A 25070-nucleotide genomic window follows, 5' to 3' on the forward strand; every position below is an offset into this window, starting at 1 on the left:
TCTTTCATGGGAGGACATGTTATGTATCACTGTCCTACTTGAAAACTTCCATTCCCCATTGATGAGGGTGTTACCTCCAGATTCCTAACACAGGTGCTGAAGGCATGCCTGGATAAAGGCACTCCCTTGATCTCCTGGCCAGGTCCCCGTACACCTGCAGCGCATGCTCCACATTCTGTCTTTACTGATGCTGTGTCTTCTGCCTGCGGAGCCACCCACCATTCTATTCACAGCCCCTGCCTCAGCGGAGCACGTGCCTCCCTCTTCCTACACTGAGCTGTCCTTTCTATTGAATCCCCTCTTTTTTGTAGTATGGGAAATATTTTATTATGAATACTCTTTTCTCTGTTGCCTCCGTGACCACGTTAACTTTGCCCTAATTCGCCTTAGGACTCCATCTGCTTAGGGGAAAGTTAGGATTTGGTTACAGAAAGCAAGCTGCTAGAAAGAACAGTGTTTAGCTTCTGACAGGCAAAATAGGATTTTGCAACATGCTTTTCCTTTTTAATGCTTAGACATTTTATATGAATTAATATTTTTATTTGGTTGCTTATACATTACTTTCTTTTTAGCTAGAATGTGAACCCTATAGGAACATGGGGATTGCCTTTCACATCTTTGTATCCTCAGTACCTAATGTTCAGTCACCCTGTGGTCTTGTGTCGTATATACATTTAGCCTTCCTTAATTAAACCATATGTACTGGTCCCCGTCCCCCACCCCCAAATAGAGAGAAAGAAATTCCTTGAATACTACATTGCCAGTATCAAACCACACCTTGATATCCTCTGGGGAAAGGGAGGTATCAGTTGAAAAGAGAAAAGAGGTTAAAATCTAGGCATTAAAATGTGTAAGGCTTAGATGCTGGCAATTTAAGGTATGTTTTCCTGAGGTTAATTTTGATTGTGTGCAAATTTTACCTCATATCTAACTGTAGGATTTAGTCACCACATAAGATGGGATACCTCCATAAATCCTTCAGAAATGTTTGTGAAATTAAATAAAGCCTTATTGAAGACTCAGCTCTTGAGAGTCATCTACCTACCTAACAGTTATTCTTGAACAGAAGAGTCTTACTTTTCCCTATAAGGCAGTGTGATAGCCATCTGTATATTCATATAATTTATGTTGGCGCTTACTTCATTTAAAAATGTATTCCGTGAATGCAGTTGCCAGGCGGTGTGCTGATCAGAAACGTGTACCAATGGCCTCTTTTATAATTATAAGAGGAAGACCAACCTGAAACAGTCACACAAATGATTAATTTTAATTGTGGAGGAGTGCTGGGAAAGAAAAATAAAAGATGCAATGCAAGTGTTTACAAAGGAGCTTTGAGCTTGTTTGAAGTGGTCCTTGGGCACTTAAGCAAGGCTTAAAGAATGATGTGATTAGAAGTGGCTTAGCAATTCTAAAGAACACAGGGAAGGCGTGTGGCCAGAACATTGGTCCCTAGAGCACATCGCCTCCTGACATACCATTTCCTTAAGTTAATGTTTTACCACTATACATAGGCCCTCCCCTTTGTTTACCCAGATTTTTTTAATTTTAAGGATGTTTTTAATAACTTAGAATCCTGTAATTTGTTGAACAGTCCTGTATTCCCTTTACTTATATTCCTTGAGATTTTATAAAATATTTTTTACATGTCCCAAGTCTTGATTATATCTTTTTACCTCTTGTTAAGAAATACTTACTTTTCTATTTTTATGCTATATTTCATGTTTACTGTAGAAAACAAAAAAAGTAAAATTTTTCTTTATTCCTATCACTGCAGCTTATAAGCACTCTAAACATTTTGATCTATATTTTGCCAATCATATATTTTAGTTAAAATTGTTGTTGACATAATTGTAGATTCCTGTGCAGTTGAAAGAAATAATACAGAGCTGAGCGCGGTGGCTCACGCCTGTAATCCCAGCACTTTGGGAGGCCGAGGCAGGCAGATCATGAGGTCAGGAGTTTGAGACCAGACTGGCCAACATGGCGAAACCCTGTCTCTACTAAAAATACAAAAATTAGCTGGGTGTGGTGGCGGGCACCTGTAATCCCAGCTAGTTGGGAGGCTGAGGCAGGAGAATCGTTTGAACTCCGGAGGCAGAGGTTGCAGTGAGCCGAGATGGTACCATTCCACTCCAGCCTGGGCAACAAGAGCAAGACTGCATCTCAAAAATAATAATAATAATAATAAATAAACTTTAAAAATAAAACAGAGAGATCCCATGTGCGCTTTGCCTAGTTCCCCCATCCACTGCCCATAACATTTTGCAGAACTGCAGTACAGTATCACAACCACAATACTGACATTGATACAGTCTGCTCATCTTATTCATATTTCCCCAGTGTTACTCGTATCCACGTGTGTATGCATTGTGTTTTCAATACTCTTTTATTATAAAGCTGTTTTTAATGTGATTCAATTCTAGGTTGTTTTGTTCTGCCCTCAAAAAGCATTCCCTCTCCTAATCATATCTCCGTCATACCCTTGTATGTTTTCTTTAAACCTGTTTTAAGAAAGCAGCTACCTGTAAGAGAAATGAGATTGAAAACAGAATTGCCAATCTGCTTGTACTTTATAAGCCTGTTGATTGTTTAGATACGGTTTAGCCAGTTTATAGTTACCCTGGGTGCTGAAAGGTATGCTGGATGATACCTAACCAACAGAGAACCATTGAATGCCGTTCAAAATGGACTGAAGCATCAGCAATGTCTGAAAAAGGCCTGACAGTAATGTACATGTCAAATGGCCCGTAATTTAAGCAGAGTAGAGTAAGTAGAAGAATAAACATGGGGAAAGTTCCAGCAACAGAGGAGGCTTTGAGCTTTTGCTCTTCATCTTGAGTGGATGTTGTTCTCAGGTGGTAATAGGCCATCGAGCTTTCTCCACTGGCTGCCTCTCTGGGGAACAAATAACCGAAAAGATACTCAGCACCCTGGTTGGTACATAGGTGGTCAGTTGATTTATACTTCCTGGTTTTCAGTGTTGCTTGAATTTTCTAAATGGAAACACAGTACCTTTATAATCAGAAAACAATCCCGAGTTTTGATTTGAGGGTGTTGTAAAAAGTTAAAAAAAAAAAAACAGAAATGTGAAAAGGAAGTTGTGTTAGAGTATTTGGAGTTGAGAAAGCATGAAAAGGACAGAAGAGAAGCTGGTTGTCAGGTTGCATGGGGTAGCTACAAGCACACTGACCAGAAAGTCAGCTGGAAAAAAAATGTAGAAACAGGAGATAAAACGGCCAAGGGGCTATACAAGCAAACAGCAAGGACCTGAGAAGAAAAACTAGTTAGGTGTGACTGTCAGAGTGATGTGTACAGTGTGATCCTTTCTGTGTAAAAACAAGCAGTAAGAATTCGCTGTTTACGTTTGCGTGTGTTTGGAGAAGAGTGGGGAAGAGTAGGCACTGCCAGACTGTGAACACTGGTTAGGTTATTGTTATATCTTTGTATTATATACACTGGACATGTTATTTGTATAATATGAGAAGAAATTTTATAAATCATTAAATCTTTTGGCATTTAGGAACATTTGTGTTTTCTAATAGTTGCTTCTATACTATTATCTTTATTATATGCCCTTCATCTTCTCAGTGTTTGGCTGTTGTTGTGATTCCCTTTTGTGAGCAGTGTTGAAGTTAGCTAATATTCATTTCTTCTCCCTTCTTTCACCCTCCTCCAGAGTCTGATTTGAAGTATTCCTAGCTGCTACCTATAAAAGCAATAAGCAAGATTGTTTTACTTTTCACAAACTCGTCCTGTTCTGTGCCTCTGCCTCGGACATAGCTGTAGTATAGAGTGTTGTCTCCCTTACATCCTTCTATCTTAGACCTACTAGTAAATATTAATGCTCACTCTAAGTTCTTCTCAATTCTTTTTTTTTTTTTTTTTTTTTTTTTTGAGAAAGAGTTTCGCTCTTGTTGCCCAGGCTGGAGTGCAACGGCACGATTTCGGCTCACCGCAACCTCCACCTTCTGGGTTTAAGCGACTCTCCTGCCTCAGCCTCCTGAGTAGCTGGGATTACAGTCACGTGCCACCACCCCTGGCAAATTTTGTATTTTTAGTAGAGACAAGGTTTCTTCCATGTTGGCCAGGCTGGTCTCAAACTCCCGACCTCAGGTGATCCACCTGCCTCAGCCTTCCAAAGTGCTGGGATTCCAGGCGTGAGCCACCGCGCCCAGCCTCTTCTCTCAATTCTTCCTGAAGCTCTTTCTGCACTAGATTCCTCAGGAAGGGCTTGTGGGAACAATCTTCTGTGAATCAACAGTACATATTCATAATAGTTTGTCAGCAGCCTATTATTTTAAGGCCATTTGGTCTGTATATAAAAATGTTTGGATCACATTTTCTTTCTTTAAGGTAAATATGTTATTCTGTTGTCTTCTGGTATAAAGCATTGCTGTAAATGTTTGACAGTCTAATTATCTTTTGCTTATAAGTGACTTAGGGTTTTTTGTCTATGTGCCCAAAGGATTTTTTCCCTCTTTCTCTCTTTTTTTTTTTTTTTTTTTTTTTTTAAACAGACAGGATCTCACCCTGTTGCCCAGGCTTTAGTGCAGTGAGGCAGTCAGAGCTTACTGAAGTTTTGAACTCCTGGGCTTGAGGAACAAAGGATTTTTTTAACCTTTTAATTCAAAGTCTCATCATTTATGCAACCATGTCTTGGTGTTGGCTGTTTTGGGTTGTTCTCCCTCAAAAATCCATGTGCTCTTTCAATATGTAGTTTTAAATCTTTTTTTTTTAATTTCAGGAAAATCTTGAATTAGAGTTTTCCGTTTTTCGTCTGGTACATTGCTTGGGTTTCCTTCTTCAGGAACTCAGCCTGTTATGTGTATGTTTGATCTTCTTTGCCTGTCGTCTGTTTCTTTCACTTCCTCTCACTTTTTTAAACTTCATTTATTAAAAAAAAATTTTTTTTTCGAGACAGAGTTTCGCTCTTGTTGCCCAGGCTGGAGTGCAATGGCGTGATCTCGGCTCACTGCAACCTCCGCCTCCCAGGTTCAAGTGATTCTCCTGCCTCAGTCTCCCAAGTAGCTGGGATTACAGGCATGCGCCACCACGCCCAGCTAATTTTTTGTATTTTTAGTAGAGACAGGGTTTCTCCATGTTGGTCAGGCTGGTCTTGAACTCCTGACCTCGTGATCTGCCCGCCTCAGCCTCCCAAAGTGCTGGGATTACAGGCGTGAGCCACTGTGCCCAGCCTTATTAAAAATTTTAAAAACATACATTTAAACTTAACAGAAAAATTATGAGAGAGAAGGGGGTGGTGCCAGGCTTTTTTAAACAACCAGCTCTTACATGAACTCATAGAGTGATAACTCATTACCATGAGGACGGCATCAAGCCGTTCATGAAGGATCTGGCCCCGTGACCCAGACACCTCCTACTAGGTCCATTTTTAACATTGGGGATCACATTTCAACGTGAGATTTGGAGGGGGCAAAACTACAAACCATGTCACTCAGGGATTGGAGGAGCAAGTACCACCTATACTTTGGACTCAGGTAGAAAGGCAAAATATCCAGGAAATAAGCTGCTACCGTCCAGGGTTCAGCAGAGGTGCCCATCAGCCTGCCAAGTACTCAAGAGTCCAGCCTCTAGGGAGCTAATCATCATGGTGAGCTCTTCGAGGCACAGGGAGCTGGGAAGACAGTGCTTGCCACCCCTGCCTGAATAGTGTTTGCACAGAGAGTTCTGTTGTGTCTTGATTGGGTCCTCCTGCCACTGGGAATGCTGTGGATTATACTAGGTCTCTATCTGGCTTGTTTCAGGGCTCCATGTGAAAACCTTCTTGATATCCTAGCCATCCACCTGCTCAGTCCCTAGTTTGCAAGGAGGCTGTGGGGAGCCTAGATTCTGTGTCAGATAGAATGTACTACATTCCGTCTCAGGAATGTACCACATCAGAAAACAGTGCGACCTGCAGGAGAAGTAGAGGTGAAGAGGCACATTCTTCCGAGAAATGTTTCTCTCAACACCCAGCATTCCCTGGATATCAGCAGGAAATTACTCACTGCTAGAAAATGCCCCATGAGCCTTCTGTTAAGGAGGTCAAGGGAGAGAACAGAGAAAGTTCTCAAAGTTGACTTGGTCACTGGTACTTTCTTATGCGGTTCTTATTTTGTTTGCCATCGTCATCATCATGCTATGTCTATTTTCTCAATCCAAATCCACTGCTTTCACCTTGGTTCTTTCTGACCGGTTTGGCACACTCATTCAGTAAATCCTTATGGAGAGCCCAATGTCTGCATAATTGTGCTGTGCTGATGACCAAGCTAGACCTACGAGTGTCGGCTCCTTTGAGATGTACGGGACAGCTCTTCTGTCATCTCTTCTGGGAAGCCTCTCCAGGCTTGGTGAACAGTGGCAAGATGTTTAACAGTTGTACATGTGTCCCATGTTCCTTTCTAAGAGCCTGGGCAAACCAGACCCGGTCGCAGGTCATCGTAGTATGGCGTGAGCTTCCTCTCTCCTTTCTGACCTTTTGTGTGATGGCAAGAACCTGCAGAGTGACACAAGCAGCAGGCTTCTGAGGTTGCTCTAGCCTCAGAATGGCCGTCCCTTCTCCACCCTGGCCCTCATTGCTGAGGTTTCCTTTGAAGCAACAGTGCCGGAACAGACTAGGGGAAGCAGCTTGGACATAGCTGTATGATTTATTACCACCCATTGAGGCCAACCAAAGTCGGCAAGGAGAGGTAGCAGGTCAGTGGTGCCTGGAAGCTTCCTCTTTCCTTTGCACCAGATGTGACTGCTCTGCAATTACTCCTAAATTTGCTACTCTCGTTTTTACTAGCCAACCTTGATGTTTTTCCCTTCTTCCTGTAGAATAGACTTCCCCTCTGATCAGTACTTTCTACTCAACACTATTTGTGGCCACAGTGGGAACTCATTGAGGACAGGGACCATGACATTACTACCTGACCCATCAACACTTGGCATAACTTGAAATGCAAGGACAAAAATTGGCTGCAAGTACAATGTGGTCTTCACTCTGAAGGTGATCCTTAAAACTTGGCTTTGGCATCATATTGCCTTAATATACCTAGGGGATTGGGTAAAACCAGTTACTTTAAAAGAGTTTTACAATTCTGGCCTTCTAGCTATCTTGTCTTCTTAAACAAGAGCACAAGATGAATGTATCTTAGTGAAATTTTATATGGTTTGCTTTGAGTAATCTTGCGAAGATTGATTTTTAGCACAGTAGGAAAGACACATTCTAATAGTGATTTTTTTCCCCGAGTTTATGTACTGCTGTTGCATGAAAATCTGACTAGATTTAATGTTCCTAAAGTTCTTTGTTCATCCTGATTTTTGCAGGTCCTAGGGAAAGCTTTGTTTTCCTCTTAACCTAACTTAGATGTTGTCATTTCATGAGCTTTGGAGGAAGAGTGTATAGCCAATTGTGTAATGTCTTTAAAGGATATTATCTCTGCAATAGTTGTTTATAAGGCCTAAGTTATTCATGTAATAATAGTGGCCCCGGATCTGTTTCTAGCAATAGGTATATGGATTTTGGTTCCTATATAGTTGTAGTTGTGGCTTTGAGATATTGAGCAAGCCCTTTTAAGAAAGGATTTGGCATCCCTCAGCCTTCAAAAGCTTCTCAAAATTGATCATATGTTATTAGCAAAGGTTTACTGCCTGCTTCCATTGTATAGACAATTTATTTTTTATGTATTCCGTTCTAAGAAGGCAGATGACCAAAAGATCTTGCATCTGTTGCCCAAGGCTTGTGACTAGAGAGGAAAGAGATAAGAATACTTTTTTAAAATCCCATTTTACTAAATATGTTGAGGAAGTGGTAAGATATATTAATTTGTTGAGATTTTTCTGTTATGCCTATTATATGAAATAGGTACTCTGAACATGGCTTCTTAATTAAATATATTTGATAAAATACAACTTGCTTCCCCTGGAGTTTAGAAGTCAGATAACTGCCATGGAGAGCTATGCTTTCTTTGTTTTAAAGATCTGCTTATGAACATGATAAACAGGAACAATTTAATGTTTTCAATATTTTCTTGTATTTTACTGCAAGTTTATACACAACATAAATATGGGGGAAGGGGGAAATGTTTATACCAGAGCCATCCTGCCCATTCTTTCCTTACAGAAGGACAAAGGAGCAGTATTTATTTTAACTACAAAAATACTATTGTAGGTTTTAAAAATTCCGTATATTTTGATATCTTGTGTTCCTCTTGACCTTTAATTTGCTAAATAGTTGCAAAGAATGAAGGTAACCTGCATCATCTTCTTAAAAACCAACTCTATCTAATTATAATAGTTTGTCTATCTCTGAAAAATAGTGATGTGTTCATTCTGAAATCAGAACTACCGGATGCAGCTGCATTTTGTTACTATTTGAATTTCGGGAGAGGGAGGAGGATGCAGCCTTTCGAGCTGCTGAAATACACAAACACAAAGAAGACACCAAGCATAGTAGAACTGTGTTAAGCTGACCAAGCCAGAAGAAGCACCTATTCTCAGCATAGTATGAGACGTAAAGGCAATATAATGGGCATAGTTGAAGATGGTAGAAGGAAAATAGACTCTGATGGTTTAATGTTAAATGCTTTTTTTAAAAAAGTGGTATTCCAATATCGAAGAAGAAGACTTTCTACTTTTAGAAGCAATAAAGGAAATTGCAGAGGAAAGGGTCAATAGGTTGGAATACATAAAAATTAAAAACTTTTAAACTTTTTTTTTTTGAGACAGAGTCTCACTCTGTCACCCAGGCTGGAGTGCAATGGTGCAATCTCGGCTCGCTACAACCTCCGCTTCCTGAGTTCAAGCAATTCTCCTGCCTCAGCCTCCCGAGTAGCTGGGATTACAGGCATGGGCCACCACTCCTGGCTAATATTTGTATTTTTAGTAGAGACAGGGTTTCACCATGTTGTCCAGGCTGATCTCAAACTCCTGACCTCGTGATCCGCCTGCCTCGGCCTCCCAAAGTGCTGGGATTACAGGCATGAGCCACCGCGCCTGGACTAAATTGTTTCAGTATTAATTTTTTTTAAAACAAGATCTTACTGTTGCCCAGGCTGAAGTACAGTGGCCCAATCATGGCTAACTGCAGCCTTGACTTCTGGGCCTCAAGGGATCCTCCCACCTCAGCGTCCCGAGTAGCTGGGACCACAGACATGTACCACCACACCCAGCTACTTGTTTTATTTTTATTTTTGTAGAGATGAGGTTTCACCATGTTGCCCAGGCTGGTCTCGAACTCCTGGGCCCAAGCAATCCTCCTCCCTTGGCCTCCCAAAGTGCTGGTATTACAGGTGTAAGCCATTGCGCCCTGCCTGATTTTTTAAATGTGCAAACAGATAAGTTGGAAAAGTGATTTCCAATAAAGATAAAGAGTTGATGGTTTTAAAATACGTAAAGAGCTTATATGAATGAGAAAAACACTAACATTCCAAAAGATTAGAAGGCAAAGGACAGAAAGAAACAAATCACTATGTCTGGGAAGGGACATGAAGGAGCAGGTTCCCACTGGGCCAGCGGGGCTCAAACCCACTGGGGACGTCCGAGAGACTGCAAGGGCCATGCCTTCACATTGCCGTACCTGAGAAGCAAGGAGCTGGGGTATTTATCTCTTTCACACTTTGGGAGGCTGAGGTGGGCGGATCACCTGAGGTCAGGAGTTCGAGACTAGCCTGGCCAACACAGTGAAACCCCGTCTCTACTAAAACTAGAAATAATTAGCTGGGTGTGGTGGCACACACCTGTAATCCCAGCTACTTGGAAGGCTGAGGCATGAGAATTGCTTGAGCCCAGGAGGTAGAGGCTGCAGTGAGCATAAATTGCACCACTGCACTCCAGCCTGGGTGAAACTCTGTCTCAAAAAGTAATAATAATCATGATAAATAAAATAACATTAGATTGTTAGCAGAAGTAGCCACAGGTTTCTCCCACCTCTCTGCAAGTTGCTGAGTGTGATTCCCATCAAGAGGTACAATGTCTTTTTATTTTTATTTTATTTATTTTATTTATATTGCCTATGTTGTCTAGGCTGGTTCCAAACTCCTGAGCTCAAGTGATCCTTCTACGTCAGCCCCCCAAAGTGTTGGGATTACAGGCATCAGCCACTGCACCTGGCCCAGATACTTTTTCTTGAGTAGGAATTTCGAGTCACCCTGAACATTGCATGCCTTCGTAGTGGGGAAGACAATAGGAAACCACAGGCTGTAGGCTAAAATGGGTTGTGTTTCTTGTAACGTCATGACAAGGCATAACCCATCTTGGCATAGTAAATAGTAAGCACTCACTGAACTGATGATTTTAAATCTTTGCTGTTTATTCAGCAATATCCTAAATTAGCGCTATGTTAGTGGAGTTGCATCTCCCTCATGGATTAGTCTGAAAAAGATGAGAAATCTGTATGTAGACCAAGTTATCCTTAAACTGCTCATAATGTATGATGCACGTGGTTTTACGTGTACAGCCTGGTACCATTGTTCTTAGGCACATTTCAGTGCCAGAACTCTTAATACCCAGGAAGAAGCAAAAAGAAAGATGGAGGTGCAGCTAGAGGTTGTGGCCTTTGAACGATTCATTCTGCCTTAATAAGAGTGGTCTGGCTGAGCTCGGTGGCTCACACCTGTAATCCCAGCACTTTGGGAGGCCAAGGCAGGCAGATCGCTTGAGCCCAGGAGTTCAAGACCAGCCCAGGCAGCATAGCGAGACCCCCCCTCCCCCCGTCTCTACAAAAAAATAGAAACAATGAGCCAGGCATGGTGGAACGTAGTGCGTGGTGCCTGTAGTCTCAGCTACCCAGTTGGCTGAGGTGGGAGGATCACCTGAGCCCTAGAAGTCGAGGCTTCAGTGAGCCCTTATTGTGCCACTGCACTCCACTCTAGGTGACAGAGCGAGACAGGTCCTGTCTCGAAAAGAAAGAAGAAGAATTAAAAAAAGTGATTAGATCCCTTGTGTTTGGGACACTTGTTGGCAGCAGGGATGGTAGCGTTTATGAGGGTTGCATGTAACATCGCCTAGCTCAGACATCTGTTTGACTGTCTTCCCCCCTGAAGCGCAGGCTCTGTGAGGGCAGGTCTTTTGTCTTTCTTGTTAATCTTCATATGCTTAGTGCTTGCCACATAGTTGATGCTCAGTCGATATTTGGATGAATTGAAGGGATTAATGCATTGAATCTGAACCTTGCTTTCTTAATGCATATGGGGAGTTCTTTGGAAAGCCACACAGAGGAGCTTGGTTGCCTGCTTCCTCTCTTCCCCAGATTGTCTTTTTATTGTTGTGGCTTCACTGAAGCACTCTCACTTCAAATAATTTTGGGCATTGGTCGTATTTTATTCTTTGTTCCTTCTTCATCCTTACCCCTCAGATGGTATGTAGAAAAGTACACTACATCTAGAAAGTACTTTATAAACTCATTTGGTTGATAATAATACATATGCCTTTTCCTTGGTCCTGGTAGCAGAATCTTGTGCCACTCTTGGAATACAAACGAAATTCTTAACCAAAGCCAGTTTCATTTTGATGTTCTATTTTCCTCCCATTCACACTCCAAATTGTGCACCAAAGTATCATCCTAGTTTTGTGAGGATGGTTCTCCATACTTCAGGGTAGGAGTATCATGTGGATTCCTATGATACCTTTCTCCCTGGGACCATGGAGGGCAGCAGCTGGTGATTGATAGTCTGATTCCCGGTGAGGAAAGCTGTGAGCCTTCCACTTGCAGATGTCTGCCAACTACATGTGTCCTTAGTCAACTGTACCACTGTCCTCCGGCAAACAGCAGAAGCCCAGGGCCTGAAGTTCTTAAGCTGTCATTATGGAAAGCAGAAGGTAAACAAAACAGAAGTGAAAGTAGATTTAATTTTTTAGACTGTTCTCTTACAGGAATGGTTTTGTGGTTCTCAGCATTTTAAAAAAAATAGTGGTTCCAATATGTTTTATTGACATCAATTACTGTAAGTCTGATTCATTTTCTGCCTATTGATTTCTACCCAAGGTGAAATTCATGACATTTAACAGAAAGCATAAGTGATTTTTTAAAAGCAGACACTATTAGGGACGGTAAAAATAAGATTTAAAGTCGGGACACTTGAAAAAGCAATTTTTATACCTTTGGTAACGATTCTATTCTGATTCTTTGTATAAATAATATAAACAAAGGCTCTAGAAGCTTACTATAATGAAGTTGGTGTGCTGTTTCTAAATTCTGGTTTAAGGCCCAAATTCATTTTATCTGCATTAACTTTTTTTTTTTTGAGAGTCTCGCTCTGTCACCCAGGCTAGAGTGCAATGGTATGATCTCGGCTCACTGCAACCTCTGCCTCCCGGGTTCAAGCGATTCTCCTGCCTCAGCCTCCCGAGTAGCTGGGATTATAGGTGTGCGCCACCACGCCCGGCTAATTTTTGTATTTTTAGTAGAGACGGGGTTTCACTATGCTGGTCAGGCTGGTCTCAAACTCCTGACCTTGTGATCCGCCTGCCTCGGCCTCCCAAAGTGCTGGGATTACAGGCGTGAGCCACTGCACCCGGCCGTGTTAAAATTTTTCAGTGGTAGACCACTATGTCAATATGTTGCTTTCACTGACAACAGTATTTTCTTAAAGATAGGATACCCCATTTCTAGATGAATCTCATTCTAGCTGGAAAATAATTTTTCAGTTCTGAAACTACATCAGGCCTCAGGGAATCAAAACTAGCTATTAGCCACACACATATAAAGTGGCTTTGCTTTATAAACGATTTAGGGTCACCATCAATGACAATGGTCCCTTTTTATTGTATTTTTAAGAGTTTCTTATCTTAAATGGCTGCATAACTGTAGAGTTTTAAAAAAATTAAGTAAATGACCATGTTAATGCTCTATTAAGCTTCCAAACAATATTGTAATTTACTTTGAAGATTTTTTTTTATTCTCAACATCCTGCAGCTTGACCGTTTGCCTCCGTGTCTCAGTGCTGCTTATTTTGAGGTGTGGACTGGAGTCCATCTGTCCCCCTTGCCTCTGAACTGCTCCGTTTTGTGTTTCGTAATTCTTCATGCTGCATCCTGGGCGCATTTCTCTGTAGTAGCTTTCAATTTGCTCATGCTTTGACTGGGCTTAGTCTAGCGTTTATCCTATCTCTTAAGGTTTTTTAAAAAATTTTCATGATTATTCATTTATTTCCAGGATTTCTCATTTCTTCAGTCACATCTCCTTGTTCTGGTTTTACTTCTTCCTGTTTTTATTCATAACATCTTTTTTATACACGATTCCTTCATGTATTTCTAATCTTAAGTATATTTAATTGCTTATTTGATTCTTTTTTTTTTTTATTGAGACAGGGTCTTACTCTGCCACCAGGCCGGAGTGCAGTGACATAGTCATAGCTCACTGCAGCCTCAACTACTTGGACTCAAGCGACCTTCCCACCTCAGCCTCCCAGGTAGCTAGGAATACAGGTGTGAGAGCCGCCACACCCAGCTGATTTGTCTTACTATGTTGCCCAGGCTGGTCTTGAATTCCTGGGCTCATGTGATCTGCCCTTCTTGGCCTCCTGAAGTGCTGAGATTATAGGTGTGAACCACTGCACCTGGCCAAGTATGTTTATTTATTTATTCTAATTTGAGAGGGAGTCTCGCTCTGTCGTGCCCAGGCTGTAGTGCAGTGGCACAATCCCAGCTCACTGCAACCTCTGCCTCCTGGGTTCATGCGATTCTCTTGCCTCAGCCTCCTGAGTACCTGGGGTTACAGTTGCGTGCCACCACACCTAGCTAATTTTTGTGTTTTTAGTACAGGCGGGGTTTTACCCTGTTGGCCAGGCTGGTCTTGAACTTGTGACCTGAAGTGATCCGCCCGCCTTGGCCTCCCAAAGTGCTGGGATTACAGGCATGAGCCACCACGCTTGGCCCAAGTATGTTTATTTTTAAAGTCCCCAACAAGCTATACAATAAATTGCATATGGAATGGATTTTTGTTCTAGTTGATTTGTTGGTTATCATTTGTAGAACTAACTAGTTGTCTTCTGTGTTTGATACCTTGCTTCTAGGTCATTTTGAGTTGGGAGCCTTTTGTTTTGTTTTTATTCTCATGCTGTTTTTGAGCCTAGCTGTGCCTTTATGGTTTTCTCTAAATTTAATTGACCATTGTTTTATATTTGGAGCAGTGGGTGTACATCAGAGTGTGAAAGCAGCCCCACCCTCTCCACCAGAAGGTCTCCATGCCAGTTTCACGAAGCATTTTTCATGCCCTCATTCCTGCCCTTATCCCTTGATTTGTGGGGAGTTTGTAAAGCAGTTGATTGTTTTTTTTCCACGTAGTTTTCCAAGTGCACATAATTGTTCTGTTAGTGACTTGTAGCTCCATTATCTATTAACCTTGCCCCAGACCACTGTACAAGCGGACCCAACGCTTCCTCCAGCTGTGGCAGGGACAGTTACTTGGTATCCTGCTGCCTTTTCAATGCTGACCAGTTTTGCCCCTTCCTCCCCTCAACCCCTGTCTTTCATTCAACTATCACCAAACCAAAAGATTCTGGTTTGCTTTTTAGTATGTGTTCTTATTCAGTACATAGTCATTTTAAAATTTAAACCAAAACAGACTTGGTACTGATTAGCTTAATTTTAAGCTTTTTCTTTATTATTAAACAGTGTAGTTTATCTTAGCATTTCATATTAAGTATATGATTTATTTCATATTGCTTATATGAATGTACACATAAATATAATAAAAATATTTTCCTAAGGTTTTTGTAGTAAATTATATCGTTTCATTAACTTTCATATATAGCATTGCTTTTGACCTGGAAGACATTGAACCTCTGATGATTTGTATATTCCTCGGAGTATACTTTGTTACATAGAAATTTTCTCATTTATAATGAGATTTGTGATTAACAAAATTTGTTCAACATGCATTACTTTGAAGATCTGGTTTCTAAAATTTTATGCTAGTTACCCCACCCCCCCTTCTATATATATCTCCCTATTCAGCGACTACTGCAAGAGTTCCAGGAAATGTACACTGTGTGTTCACTTACTGCATTTTAAATCATTGCCTTTACTATATTTCTGCATTTCCCTTCAATCTAGCTCTGTCTGTACATTTCTGAAAGCCAGTAGCTTCCCTGAAGAACCAGGTAACAACCCGAACAATCAAATTAGATAACCATTTGTAGAATGGAGGTTCCGGGAGATCTTAGAAGATGTGATGGGTGCTAAGGGACTTTGTAGTTCCCTGAAGTTCCAGTGAGTAAAAGGTACCCTTGGAATTTTTTATTCCTTCAGACTTTTAAAACAGAGATCACTTTCAAAAATTACTCTTTCTGCTTTGAATCCATGTTTTAGTAACTATTTTGACACTGTTTGGTCAGAAGGCTGTGTGGGTCAACTGCAAATAAATAAAATAAATGTGATTTCAGTAATTTCCATTTTGTAACAAGTAATTGAGAAAATAGGATTGGATCAGATATTTGCTTATACACATTCCCTTTCAGGAGCACTTCTGTTCTATAAAGAATGTTGGTATATTGTTAAGGACACTTCAAGCTTTGGGAACCTTTGAAGTATCCATTGATTCAGTTAACAAAATTATGTTGAGTGCCTACCCTGGGCCTGGGCCTGTGTTAGGAGGGGACACTAAGATGAGAGTCCAAAGCACTTCTTCTCAGACTCCTGGCTGCTAATGGGTTGCTGCCTCTACTTCTTCACTTAGCAGATAGCTTTAAAATGAGTAATGCATTTTACCATGGAGCCCGTAAGAGACATTCACCCAGTTGTGGACCGAGGAGAAGGGTGTTAAACCCAGATTGTGATGTTTCACTTGATGAAGTGCTTAATATAAACATGGAAATATTTCCGCAAGGATAAACTGGCTTTTATGCCTGTGTGTTTTCAGGAGAAATAGAAATCTCTAATCAAATATTGCCAGCTTTTCACCCAAGTTTGACTTTTTGCCTAATTGAGTTTGGGAGGTGTCTGAATAATGGATAATGAGCTTTCCTGAATAAATATAAAAATTAATTAACTCCAGGCTCTAATTCATTCTGTTACCAGAGTTTTGTAAGCATGTTACCCCTTTGTGTTCATTGGGAGATCATCTGTTACCTTCTTAAATGAGTGGGGAAGGATGGGAAATGAGGAAGAGCTATAAAAACTATTCAGGTGAAGAAGGTTTCTGCCCCTCCTTGCCCCTTTTAAAATCTCCAGCTCAGCAGATGCTTTGTTTAAACTTGATCAAGTGCTTGTGAATCTTCCTAGCCTAGCTAAATCATAACTTTGGAAGGACTTGCTTTTTTCTCTCATGACAATGGTTTACCACAGAAATGATTCAGATCACTTTGTGTGCCTGATGCCTATGTAAAATGATACAGTGAAATGGAAACCATTTACCTGTAAGCTTTGGGCACACCCAAGCCTGCTTCAGGAGCACATGATCAGGCGTGCACTCTGGGAGAGCCGTACACATTTGACATCTATGATGTGTGGCGTTTTATTCTATCACATTTCTGAAATCTACACTAAGAGAAAGGAGGCTCTTAAAAAACCACTGAGGTGTGGACTGGGGGAAGGAGAGATCCGTAAAGAACCTGTTTGTTACCTGTTGATACTATTTCCCATTGGTAAAATTTCTAATTTAGTGTGATCCAGCCCTGAAATGCTGAGGCACACACTGAATGACTCCTGACATCTTTAGTGTTTTTGTTCAGGGGACTCTTCTGGGAATCTGTTTCATGGCAAGTTTATTATTCCCTTTTGGTTTGGCTCATCAGTTTACCCAGCAGTCATCTTAATCGGTTTTAAAGGCTTTTATTTTATTTTGTTTTCTCTGTGGAAATTTTACACATTCAGTAGATTAGAAGTAGTTATTTAATCTTTGGTTAGCATAATAAAAGATCTTCTAGGGACATTTTTTGCTTGCAGTGGAAGGCTAGTTAAATGTGTTCATTAGTCATGAATCTGCTTTTTCTATAGCTGTTGGAAACGTAGCTCCCCTGTGATACAGTTGTAGAATACAGAAATCTCGTTTTGCTGTTACGGTACGGTAGTCTACTTACTTTCTTCCAAACCATTAATGTTATAGTTACCTTTAATTGCGTAGGTCCTATCACCCCTCAATTTTAAGACTCTAAGCCTGGCATTTTATCTTACAAAATGAAATATAAAGACTTGTACTCAGAGTATGTGTGTGTTTTCCATATACCATTCTAAAGTAGAGAAAGATGAGGGATTCGCCAGAAACTGATTTCTAATAAATTATCCAGAAACTGACCCCTTCTCACCTCTTCTGTTACTGTCACTGTGGTTTCAGCCACAGCATCCTTTGCTGCATTGTTACCTTAGTTTCCTGACTGTATCCTTCCTTACACCATTGATCCCTGCAATCCCATCTGCGCGTAGCAGCCAGAAGGGATCCACTTACTGCTGTGATCAGAAATCCTCAGCCAGGTGCAGTGGCTCATGCCTGTAATCTCAGCACTATGGGAGGCTGAGACTGGAGAATTATTTGAGCCCAGGAGTTTGAGACCAGCCTCAAACTGGGTAATATAATGAGACCTCATCTCTACAAACAGGAAAAAAAAAATTTTTTTTTTTTTTTTAACTAGCCAGGTATAGTGCTAATATACCTGTTCTGGGATCCAGCATGCTCTCCCTGACCTGCAGCTTCATCTCCACCACTTTGCCCCTCACTCCCACCACAATGGCTTTCTTCTCTTCCTCAGACATGCCGTGCGTCCTCCTACCTGGAATATTCCCCTCCAAACATTCCCATGGCTCACTCCCTCACCTTCATCAGATCTCTGTTCCAGTGTCACTTTTACTGGAAGGTCTTTTGTGACCATCCTACTTATTATAAAAAAATAATCTGCCCAACCTTCTCCTTTTATTTCCTCTACTTGATTTTTCAATTTAGTACTTATCAGCTGACATATATTTTGTCTCTCTGTCTCTCTCTGTCTCTCATAGAAGGTAAATTCTATAAAGGAAGGAATTTTTATGTTTGGTTCTTTGCTGTAGCTCCAATATTCAAAACAGTGCCTGACACACAGTAGGCCCTTTATATTTGTTGAATAAATGTTGACACTCTGATATCTAATTTTTGTCTGGTGACTAATACGAAAACTATAGAGTGATAATAAAAGCATTACCTTAGTAGACTGGAAAGGGATGAGCGCTAGGATGAACTTTCTGCCTGGCGATCTTGCTGAATTTAGGAGGCAGATTGGGGTTCAAAGGAGGCTGAAATGGCTAGGATTTGCAGAGCAGGGTACTAAGGATGAGCAGGCTATGACAGAAAGAACTCCAGAAATCTGCAAAGGGATCACCTTGAGTCTGGCTGGATACAGTGTACACTTTGTAGGGTGTCTCTTCATGAGCTTGGATAAAGAACAACTGTTGGGGAGTGGATAATTCCCAGCACTCATTCAAGCTTGCATCGGCCAGAACGGAGAGAGACAGACCTCTGTAATACGTAGGATATTTGGTAGAAACATTCAACCGAAAACCATCAGATATGCAAAAAGTAATAATAATAAGTAAACAATGTGATGCATAGCTAGAAGAAAAATCAGACATTAGAAGCAAGCCCAGAAATGACAGATGATAAATTAGCAGATAAGGACATTAAAACAGCTATTATAAATAACTTAGCAGATTTAAAGAAAAACAACATAATGAGGATAATGGAAGAAAAACAACCGAATACCATTTCTAAAGAAGAAAAATACAATATCTGAAATGAGAATTTAGCTGGATAGGATTAATAGTTTAGGCACTGCAGAAGAAAAAAACAGCATCTATATGAGAATATACCCAAGGGAAGTACAGAGAGGAAAAAAATGTGGATTGGGGGGTGCCTCAGTGACATATGGAACAATATTAAACAAGTCTGCCCCCAAAATACTTGAAGGAATAAGGTTCAAGTTTTTTCCAGGTTTAATGAAAACTATAAGCCTACAGATTCAAGCATTTCAACAAACCTTCAGCAAAATAAACAAAACCACAGTAGGCCTGGCACACTGTCTCATGCCTGCAATCCCAGCACTTTGGGAGCCTGAGTCAGGAGGATTGCTTGAGATCTGCTTGGGCAACATAGCCAGACCCTGTCTCTACAAAAAATAAAATGAAATAAATTAGCTGGATGTGGAGGTCCACACCTGTAACTCTAGCTAGCCTGGAGGCTAAGAAGGGAGGATTGCCTGAGCCCAGTAGTTCAAGGCTGGAGTGAGCTAGGACTGCATCACTGCACTCCAGCCTAGGCAACAGCAAGACCACATCTCTCTCTCTCTCTCTCTCTCTCTCTCAAAAGGCAGTGAAATAACGACTTATTTGGGGAAAAAATAAAGGCAGAGAATTTGTTGCCAGCAGACTAGCATAAAAAAAAGGAAGTCCTTGAAACAGAAGAGAAATGATAAAAGATGGAAATTTGGATATATACTAAAGAATGAGGATTGCTAAAAGTGACATACATAGATAAATATGAAATATATTTTTATTTTAAAATTTATTTAAAGCAAAAATAAAAATACATCATATTTATAACATAGAAATAAAAAATGTATGATAATAGCATAAAGGATAAGTGGACAAATGCTGTTGTCGTATTTTTGGTAAAATGCACTATTATTTGAAAGTAGACCATCGTGAATTCGATGCATATTGTAAACCAAATAGAACACTAAAAAATGAAAATAAAGAGATATGGCTAATGTGCCAATGGTGGAGATAAGATAGATGCAAAAAAAGAAAAACATTCAAAAGAAGGCAGAGACAGAGGAAAAAAGGAACAAAGATCAAATGAGTCAAATAGAAAGCAGCTAAACTAGCAATATGGCAGATTTAAATCTAGCCATGTCAATAGTTATATTAAATGTAAATGTTCTAAATACCTGAATTAAAGGATGAAGATTGTCAGATTAGATTGAAAAAGCATGACCCAACTACATGCTGTCTGTAAGAAATTAGAAAAAGAACAAATTAAATCCAAAGTAAGAAGAAAGGAAATAGAGTAGAAGTTAGTGAAGTATAAAACAAAGAGCAAAGAAAATCAATTAAATGAAAAGCTGGTTCTTTGTAAAGATCAGTAAAATTGATAAATTTCTAGCTAAACTGGCCAAGAAAAAAGAAAAGACATACAAATTAACAGTATCAGGAAGAAAAACAGAGAATTCAAAGGAGTGTAATGCAAACTTTATGCTAGTAAATGCAATAAGTTAGATGGTATGGAAAAAAATGTGAACAATACAAAGCAGACTGTGGTTGCCTTTGGTGGCAGTAGCGGGGTGGGAGTGGAAGGTTGAATTGACTGGAACCAGAAGCACAAGTGAACTTTTTGGGGTGATGGAAATGTTTTGTATCTTGGTTGCATTGATAGTTAAATGGTTGTAGACATTGCTTAAAACTCACTGAACACTTAAGTGGGTATGTTTTATTATTTGTAAAATATACCTCAAAAGCAGTTTTAAAAATGTATTCAAGTACATACTTAAGATCTTTGCATTTTACTCTGAGTATACCTTAATTTTAAAATCTGTTTTTTAAAAAGTATTATGTAGATACCTTTTATTTTCCCAATGTCTTTATTAAATGACATCTCCACGTTTTGCTTCTTACCTCTATTTTTTTTTTTTTATTTCTCTGTCTCTCAGGCATGCACACACACACACCAAAAAAAGTACATATGCATAATCCTTTTGGCTGAATAAAATCAGTTGCAACTGTTATTTCGGCCCTTATTTGCTCCGGGTAAATATTCGTTAGCTGAGTGGTTTATCTGTATCAGATATTTCTTACATCTTCATCCAGTCACACCAGCTGGACTGACCAGATTGTTTTTCACTTCAAGGGCAGAATTTGTACTCACTGCTGAATGCTTCCAAATGATACGTAGAATAACAAATTTAAGACTTAGATTTTTACTTTTTCAGGTCTTTTTTTTTTTTTCTGTGCTGTATAGCATTTCCCTGAAAGCTTAATCTCATCTGTAAGTGATGCAGTGGATGTGTTACTATTGGATTAATTTATTTACTCTTAGGTAGGTTTGTAATCTGTCATCATGCTGTTGTTTTTTTGTGTGGGTTTGTTTTTGGTTTTGAGACAGGGTCTCACTCTGCTGCCCAGGCTGGAGAGGCTAGAGTGCAGTGATGTGTTTATGGGTCACTGCAGATTCAATCTCCTGGGCTCAAGTGATCTTCCTGCCTCAACCCCTTGTGTAGATGGAAGCACAGGTGCACGCCACCACACCCGGCTATTTTTTTAAATGTATTGTAGAGACGAGGCATCATTTTTTTGCCCAAGGCTGATCTTGAACTCCTGGGCTCAAACAATCCTCCCACCTCGGCTCCCAAAGTGCTGGGATTACAGATGTGAACCACCACTCGAGCTCCATCATTCTGTTATTAGTTGTTCTCTAGTATGAGTCAAAAACTCTTACCTGCCCTTTTACAGTTTTATAAATAAGTAAGCAGAATAGCAGAATGTGGACATTTTTTAAATCCAAATTGAATATGCACATGACTCAAGGAGTCAAATAGTACCGTAATCGGTTTATGATAAAATCCAGTGGTTTGGCTGGGTGTCGTGGCTCACACTTGTAATCCCAGCACCTTGGGAGGCTGAGGCAGGTGGATCACCTGAAGTCAGGAGTTTGAGACCAGTCTGACCTACATGGTGAAACTACTAAAATACAAAATTAGCTGGGCATGGTGGTGCATGCCTGTAATCCCAGCTACTTGGGAGGCTGAGGCAGGAGAATTGCTTCAACCCGGGAGGCAGAGGTTGTGGTGAGCCGATATCGCATTATTTCAGAACAATTTTCCACAAGATCAGTGAGTGCTGTCCAATAGACATATAATACAACCCACATACATGACTTTACATTTTCTTGTAGCCATAGTAGAAAAGGTCAAAAGAAGCAGATGAAATTAATAGCCTGGGCAACAAGAGCAAAACCCCATCTTTTAAAAAATAAAATAAAATATGGTGGTTTGCTGTCCCCACCTCAGACCATTTCTCTGGTCTTTCTCATTGACCACCACTCCCAATCTTTGTTCTGCTGATTGATTACAGCTTGTATATATCTCCATATTTCTAAGCAAAATGTTTATCTTTTTTAAATTTATAAATTCTTTTTATTATTTTTCAGAGACAGGGTCTTAACTCTGTCGCCCAGGCTGGAGTACAGTGGCACCATCGTAGCTCACTGTAGCCTCGAACTCCTGGGCTCAAGCAGTCTTCCTGCCTCCGCCTCTCAGGTAGCTGAGACTACGCTACAGGCACATACCACCATGCCCAGCTCAAAATGTTTATCTTTTGATACATTATTCGAGACCATTATTAAGGTGGATGATTTAGTTTTCTTAAACAGCCATCCCCTTTCTTTTCCTCCCCTCTGCTTCACCGCCCCCATTTTCCCAATGTTTTACCTTTTGGTTAAATCAGTACTCATTGTTTACATTATTTGCCTCTGCACATAGTCACAGATAGTATTGTACTGTACTGTACTGTGTTTCTTTTTTAAACATTATTTCTGTTGTTAATAATTGACTTTTTAATTTTTTTCCTATTTTGTTTTTTAAAGAGATGGGGTCTTACTATATTGCCCAGGCTAGAGTTCAGTGGCTCTTCGCGGGCATGATCCCACTGCTGATCAGTACAGGAATTTCCACCTGCTCCATTTCCAACCTGGACCAGTTCACCCCTTCTTAGGCAACCTGGTGGTCCCCCATTCCCGGGAGGTCAGCATATTGATGCCAAACTTAGTGCGGACACCCGATCGGCATAACGCATGCAGCCCAGGACTCCTGGGCTCAAGCAGTCCTCCCGGGCTCAAGCAGTCCTCCCACCTAAGCCTCCCGCGTAGCTGAGACTACAGACACTTGCCACCACACCAGGTTAATTTTTGTGTTTTTTGTAGAGGTGGGGTTTTGCCATGTTGTCCAGACTCATCTCAAACTTCTCAGCTCAAGTGAGCCTCCTGCCTCAGCTTCCCAAGTAGCTGGGATTATAGACGCATGCCACCACACCCCATGATAATTGCCTTTTTTTTTAATTTGCATAATTTTCTTTGTAGCTTTTGCTAATGTTCCCATATCTTCTTATAGCCTTACAGAATGATTTTCCACAAGATCAGTGAGTGCTGTCCAGTAGACATATAATACAACCCACATACATGATTTTACCTTTTTTTGTAGCCATAGTAAAAAAGGTCAAAAGAAGCAGATGAAATTAATAGTATCTTTTACTTAACCCAGTTCATTCAAAATGTTATTTCAATAAATGGTCAATATTTAAAATACTTGAGATATTTTGCTTTTATTTATTTCTTTTGTTACTAAGTCTTCAAAATCCAATGTGTATTTTACACTTACAGAACATCTCTTTTTAGACTGGCCACATGTAGCTCAGGGTTACTGTATTGGACAGAGTGGTTTCAGTTTCAAGTTTTTCCTTGGAGACATCCTACTTGAAATTTCCATTCTCCATGTATCTGGGTGGTTGGTCTATAGACTTGCCACTCACAGCTGTCATCTTGAGACTTTCTTTGCTTTTCTTCTCTATTGGATATTCAGTTTCCTGGATTTCAGGTCTTCTCATTTTCCTCTAGTAGTTTTGTTAGGTCATGGTTGGTATGGCATGGTTGGGATAGCGTGTTCACACAGCTATCTCGTGAGTCATACTCCTCCAATCCAGCCTGCTCGCTTCCCGTGTCTGTCATGTAGTTGTCACCCTGCTATCTCTCCCTCCAGTTTTTGCAGAAATTTCCTTTGTCTTCACTCTTGGTCTTCCTCTCCCATCCCCCATGTATCCTATATCTTTCTCTTTCTTGGTTTATTTCATCACTCAGGTGGAAAAGATGCTCCAGTGGATTACTGGGAAAAGGGGGAGCATGGATGATAAAGGTATTGAGACCTTACACGTCAGGGAATTTTTTTTTTTTTTTTTTTTTGAGACGGAGTTTTGCTCTTGTCCAGGTTGGAGTGCAGTGGCGCCAACTCGGCTCACTGCAACCTCCACCTCCTGGGTTCAAGTGATTCTCCTGCCTCAGCCTCCTGAGTAGCTGGGATTACAGGTGCCCGCCACCACGCCCAGCTAATTTTTTGTATTTTTAATAGAGACGAGGTTTCACTGTGTTGGCCAGGCTGGTCTTGAACTCCTACTTCAGGCAATCCACCCACCTCGGAATGTTTTTATTGTCCCTTCTCATTTCATGACTGCTGGGCTAGGTATAGAATTCCAGAATCATTGTTCTTAGAATCTCGAAGGCATTGCTTCATTGCTGGCCAGCTTTCAGTGTTCTTGCAAAGTCTGAAGCTGTGCTAATCACCTCATCCTTTGAAAGTGAACTGTTTTTTCTTCCCAGAAACTTACAGAACATTCTCTTTGTCCGCAGAATTCTGGGATTGCAATTACTGTGCCTTAGAATGGGTCTGTTTTTATCATTATGAAGAGTACTGGATGGGTCGGGAGGTTTTCTTGAATTACTTCTTGATGTTTTCTTTCCTTGTATTTTTTTGTTTGCTAATTTTCTATTTTTTTTTCTTGGTTTACTTTCTTGGGCAGGGGGATTTCTTCTACTTATATTTGATTCTTCAGTTGAGCTTGTCATTTTTGCTATCTTGTTTTTAAGTTTCGAGAGACATCTTTGTTTTATATAACATTCTGTTCTTAATACATAGATGCAAGATCTTTTCTTTCTGAGTATATTAATATGTATTTGAAATCTTTCTATTCTCTGCAGTTTGTTTCCCCCAAGGGTTTTTTTTTTTTTCTGGTTTTTGTTTTTTGTTTTTATGTTAGAGACTTTCCTGTTATATCTGGTCATCAGTGGTACCTGCATGTGGTGGAGAGTAGGGGCTTATTGGAGTATGAGAACCTTGAGCAGGTGTAAGGAGCCTGTCAACACTGCGCTGGCCTCAGGGCCTCTAGGGAGGCTGCCAGTTGTGCATTCTGAGGATACCTTTTGGTTGTGCCTTTTGTCTGGTCAGATTATCTAGAGATGCTCTGCCTCCTACCTGGAGGAGAAGGGTCTAGCTGCCAGCGGTGTGAGTGTCTCTTGGGGAAAAGGACTCGAGTTCCTGGTGTTTGGCTTGTGTATGGCCGCTTACCCCATTTTTGGTGGAGCG

The 25070-nt window shown here is 40.5% G+C and overlaps 1 protein-coding gene and 1 pseudogene across 2 annotated transcripts in view, besides 6 other annotated features; one reads left to right on the forward strand and one right to left on the reverse strand.

Moving 5' to 3' along the window:
- PTPN1 (protein tyrosine phosphatase non-receptor type 1) overlaps nt 1–25070 on the forward strand; it is a 74859-nt gene that overhangs the window by 24776 nt on the left and 25013 nt on the right. The gene's annotated exons all lie outside the window — the stretch shown is intronic.
- Nucleotides 5377–6576: an enhancer, noted in NCBI's record as "BRD4-independent group 4 enhancer chr20:49157072-49158271 (GRCh37/hg19 assembly coordinates)". NCBI's record gives its function as "activates an origin of replication core promoter dependent on BRD2, P300/CBP, MED14 and CDK7 cofactors, and independent of BRD4, by STARR-seq in HCT116 cells {active_cell/tissue: HCT116}" and the evidence as "EXISTENCE:reporter gene assay evidence [ECO:0000049][PMID:35650434]".
- Nucleotides 5377–6924: a biological region, named in NCBI's record as "BRD4-independent group 4 enhancer GRCh37_chr20:49157072-49158271".
- Nucleotides 5923–6423: an enhancer, noted in NCBI's record as "H3K27ac hESC enhancer chr20:49157618-49158118 (GRCh37/hg19 assembly coordinates)". NCBI's record gives its function as "activates a minimal SCP1, AML or CMV promoter by ChIP-STARR-seq in primed H9 embryonic stem cells {active_cell/tissue: H9 hESC(primed)}" and the evidence as "EXISTENCE:reporter gene assay evidence [ECO:0000049][PMID:30033119]".
- Nucleotides 6424–6924: an enhancer, noted in NCBI's record as "H3K27ac hESC enhancer chr20:49158119-49158619 (GRCh37/hg19 assembly coordinates)". NCBI's record gives its function as "activates a minimal SCP1, AML or CMV promoter by ChIP-STARR-seq in primed H9 embryonic stem cells {active_cell/tissue: H9 hESC(primed)}" and the evidence as "EXISTENCE:reporter gene assay evidence [ECO:0000049][PMID:30033119]".
- Nucleotides 6844–6893: an enhancer, noted in NCBI's record as "active region_18092". NCBI's record gives its function as "activates an Ori minimal core promoter by ATAC-STARR-seq in GM12878 lymphoblastoid cells {active_cell/tissue: GM12878}" and the evidence as "EXISTENCE:reporter gene assay evidence [ECO:0000049][PMID:35858748]".
- Nucleotides 19054–19348: a silencer, noted in NCBI's record as "tiled region #13607; HepG2 Repressive non-DNase unmatched - State 15:Elon". NCBI's record gives its function as "represses a minimal TATA promoter and a strong SV40 promoter by Sharpr-MPRA in HepG2 cells {active_cell/tissue: HepG2}" and the evidence as "EXISTENCE:reporter gene assay evidence [ECO:0000049][PMID:27701403]".
- On the reverse strand, nt 22524–22839 carry RN7SL672P (RNA, 7SL, cytoplasmic 672, pseudogene; annotated as a pseudogene).

Source organism: Homo sapiens, chromosome 20, assembly GCF_000001405.40.
Source record: "Homo sapiens chromosome 20, GRCh38.p14 Primary Assembly".
Classification (NCBI taxonomy): Eukaryota; Metazoa; Chordata; class Mammalia; order Primates; family Hominidae; genus Homo; species Homo sapiens.